Raw genomic sequence first — 3,852 nt, 5'->3', positions numbered from 1 at the left:
TAAAAAGAAGTGACTCAGAATACAATGTCCTTCATTGACAGAAATGTGGGGCTCCAGGGGATGGGCTTCTCTACCTACCCTGCCCCAGGGGCTGGGCAAGTGATGAGGTCTCCCTCTTTAGATACAAATATCAGACAGTCTGGGAATTATAAAGACCAGGAGCAACACCTTGATTCACCTCGGAGTCTCTAGGAAACCAGTGCCATCTGTCAGTGTCAGAGAGGCTCAATTCAACATGGCAGGCATGGCTGAGAAAATGAGCAGGTGTCTGCTGCCCTGGCAGAATCTGCGGAAGAGTCTTGAGACTGGGGCTCCATAGACGGCACTCCCTCTAAGGCAATTTGGGAATATCATGACAGGTCTATATCGAAGTGAGTGTGGTAGATTGTATTATTGTTCTAAATGTGTGCTGCCTCTCGATGGGGTACTGCCTCTCGTTGGGGTACTGCTCCCCAAAGGAGGATTTCACATTCTCTCTCTGTTGATATCAGGAATGATCATGTGACTTGTGTTGTTGGTTAAGTGGGGACAGATGTTTCTGTTCTGCGTGCTTCATTTTGTTACTGAAACACCAGGGGTTTGATCTAGGTCCTGCTGCTTGCCTCACAGAAAGCCAATCACTGAGACAATGAGTATTGTCAGGGAAGAAGGTTTTGAGTGCTGCAGCCAAGGAGATGGAAGAGCACTCTAAAATACATCTCCCTGACTAACTAAGATCAGGGGTTTATATAGCAGGAGATAAATGTAATTACATGTAGGGAAACAAGGATTAAGGAGGGGTAAGAAAGAGGAGTTGGTCAACAGGAAACAGGTAGTTGGTTAGGTGATCATGACGGTGAGGTGTCTGGTGTCTCATTGTCCAGATGTGGTGATCTGGTGAGTTTCAGTTCCCTGATACTATCTGGGAGGCCTGATGGTTGGTTTCCTGAGAAAGGAACTCAGATAAGACAATTGTAACTTTCTCAAATTTGAAGGCTGGGAGGGTCAATTTCTATGTTTGTTCAAAAGAAACCATAAACATTAGTTTGATGGAACAATTGTCCAGTTTCAATTTGCCTCTGCCAAAGACAATGTTCCTCAGGGAGTCTGTTTTATTAGCTGAGGTCCTGAAGTAAAGACACATGCCCACCCACAATGAACATATAATATGAATGAGAAATAAACCTCTATCGTTGTAAGACACTGAGATTTTGGGGGTCAGTTGTTGCCACAGCATAATTTTGGCTATGCTGACTGATACAAGGAAGTCACATCTCTCTCTGTCCCTATTTGTTCATCCTCTGGCAGGTAACAGTTATCATGGGCAAATAACTTGAGGAGCTCACTAGCTGTATAAAATGATAACACAATGAAGGCTGAGGAGGATGAAGCAGGAACTGTCAGGTTAATGGAGAGTTAGCAAGACACAATCATTGCCTACCAAGAAATAATTTTAACTTGAAAGTAGCCTGAGCCAGGGTATGTTGCTTGCTTCAGAGGCTGTAGTTGGTTCCTGCTGATCATTTGAGGTTTTTGGATGATGCATTGAAAGGAGGACAGCAGGGAACTGTTACAGCAGTCTATGCCCAAGACATGGAAAGCACTAGCATGCTTGGGCCATAAGTACTGGCACAATGTAACAATAATATCTGGAATGGGCACTTCAGAAGGACAAACACTGGAAGCTGCAGGAGGTGGAAGCATTAAAAACTGTCAAGTACAGGGCAGACAGGATAACTTAATAGGTGAGCTCAGTCCTCTCCGGGGCTGATAAGTCCTATCACTCTCCCTTTCTACAGTCACTCCTCCTAAGAGACATATAAATCATATCCAATGACCTAATAAAATAATAAGATTTGTCTGAGTTCTGACAGCAGAAAATAATAGAGGACCTCAAATTCAGAGGGAGAGAAATAGGAGGCATTTTAAAACTGCTGTCTCACCAGAATAGGGGAAATCTAGAGATGGACAAAAAGTTATCCTCTATCCACAAGTTGTCAGTTTTCTGAAAATACGCACAAATCTGTGATACTTCATAGAAGATACAGAAAAGAGGTTCAGTGAGATTGCTTTTCTGCTACACATTGTCTCTGTAAGGTGCTTGAATGGTCTTTTTCTGGTATGAGATTAATTTATTGGAGATTAAACTTTCTTTCTTTCTTTCTTTCTTTCTTTCTTTCTTTCTTTCTTTCTTTCTTTCTCTCTCTCTCTTTCTTTCCTTGCTTTTTTTTTTCTTTTTTTTTTTGCATTGTGGCATGTGGAAAGAGTGGGTTTTTAAGTGAAGCCATCTAAGTTTGAATCCCAGCTCTGCTTTCTAGGCCCATGACATTGGCAAGGTACTTAATTTCCCTGAGTCAGTTTCTTCAATAGTGTTGTTACGAGCAATTCAATGAAACAATGTAGTAAGGTACTTTGCAAAGAGCCTGACACTTAAGAGCTCAATCCTTGTTGGTTTCCTTCTTTAGTCTTTTAGCAATATTTAAAGATGAGAGAGGATTTATGCTGCTAGTGTAGGTTACTCCTGGTATGTTGACTGTAAAGTGCACTTGATAATCATTATAATTAAAAGAATAGGTGACTACTGAGTATACCGATTGCTCCATTAGTTTATCTACATGACCCACGCAGTCCAGTGCTCTGTTGCCAGATATGATGTGTTACAATGATACCTGTTGTTACTCACTAGGAGCTGGAAGTTTGTGTCACTAGTTAACATCTATCAAGTTCAATAAGTAGTTGAGTCCCTATTAGAGGCAAGGCATTGGGATAATTTAACCCACTGTCTCTGATCCCAGCTCTCCTGCCATCTTCTCTCCAGTTAATAGAAGAGAAAGTGTTGCTATTCCTGTGCTACCTGTCTTCACAATTCTATCTTTCCACACCCTTGGGGAACTTGCTTTATCAGTGATTTCTTCCTTATTGTCAGTTTCCTCCCTTCTGATGGTTCCTTCTCCTCTGTTGGGATGAGAAAAGAATAAACAATACTCAAAACACTCTTAGGAGCACTCTTACCCAGGAGTAAGCCTCAGAATACTTCAGCTCAGTGCATGAGAATGAAGCGGGGAGAAGTGTTTAGAGCAGTTATCAGGATAAATTACTGCATTCAAAGGAGCTGGGCAAGTTGGCCTCTCTTCTCCATACTGAGCAGCTGGGAGCAAGCAAGCTGGTTGCCTCCAGATTAAAGCTGTAACAATTTCTTCTTAAATAAAGTGAATTAAATTTGTGGTGTTATTAGAGGAAAAAAACCAGAGTCATCTGGAACTCTACAATAATTAGAGGGAGGAAAGAGGAAAAAGGAAAAGAGACTTCAGCATGTTCTTCTAGCATAAAATCATAATGGAGTTCAGTAAGCATTCTGACATGGGGGATACCCAGGGGGACCAAAGAAGAACAAGAACTCAAACTTTCAGTGGACCAGCCACCATTGGACTCTGCCATTTTGGAGGTTTGACTCCTGTTAAATCACAGAAGGTGAAGAGAGTTGTGACTTTTGAATGCAAGTTTAAAAATAGATCTAGTAGTGCCATTTTTCTTGACAAGTGAAGAAAATTATTGCTGCTGTGGTCTGAATGTTTGTGCACCTCCAAATATTCTCATATGTTGAAACCTAATGCTCAAGGTGATAGTATTAGGAGGTAAGGGAGGTGATTACATCATGAGGGTAGAGGCCTCATAAATGGGATGAGTGCCCTTATTAAAAACCCCAGAGAGCTGCCTCACCCCTTCCACCATGTGAAGATATCATGTGCCTCACCCCTTCCACCATGTGAAGACATCACGTGCCTTGCCCCTTCCACCATGTGAAGGAACTGCCTTGCCCTTCAACCATATGAATTCTGGAGGTACACAACATTCAGACCATAGCAGGAATAA

Source organism: Homo sapiens, chromosome 12 (assembly GCF_000001405.40).
Source record: "Homo sapiens chromosome 12, GRCh38.p14 Primary Assembly".
Taxonomy (NCBI): Eukaryota; Metazoa; Chordata; class Mammalia; order Primates; family Hominidae; genus Homo; species Homo sapiens.
This window is presented reverse-complemented; position numbering follows the sequence as displayed.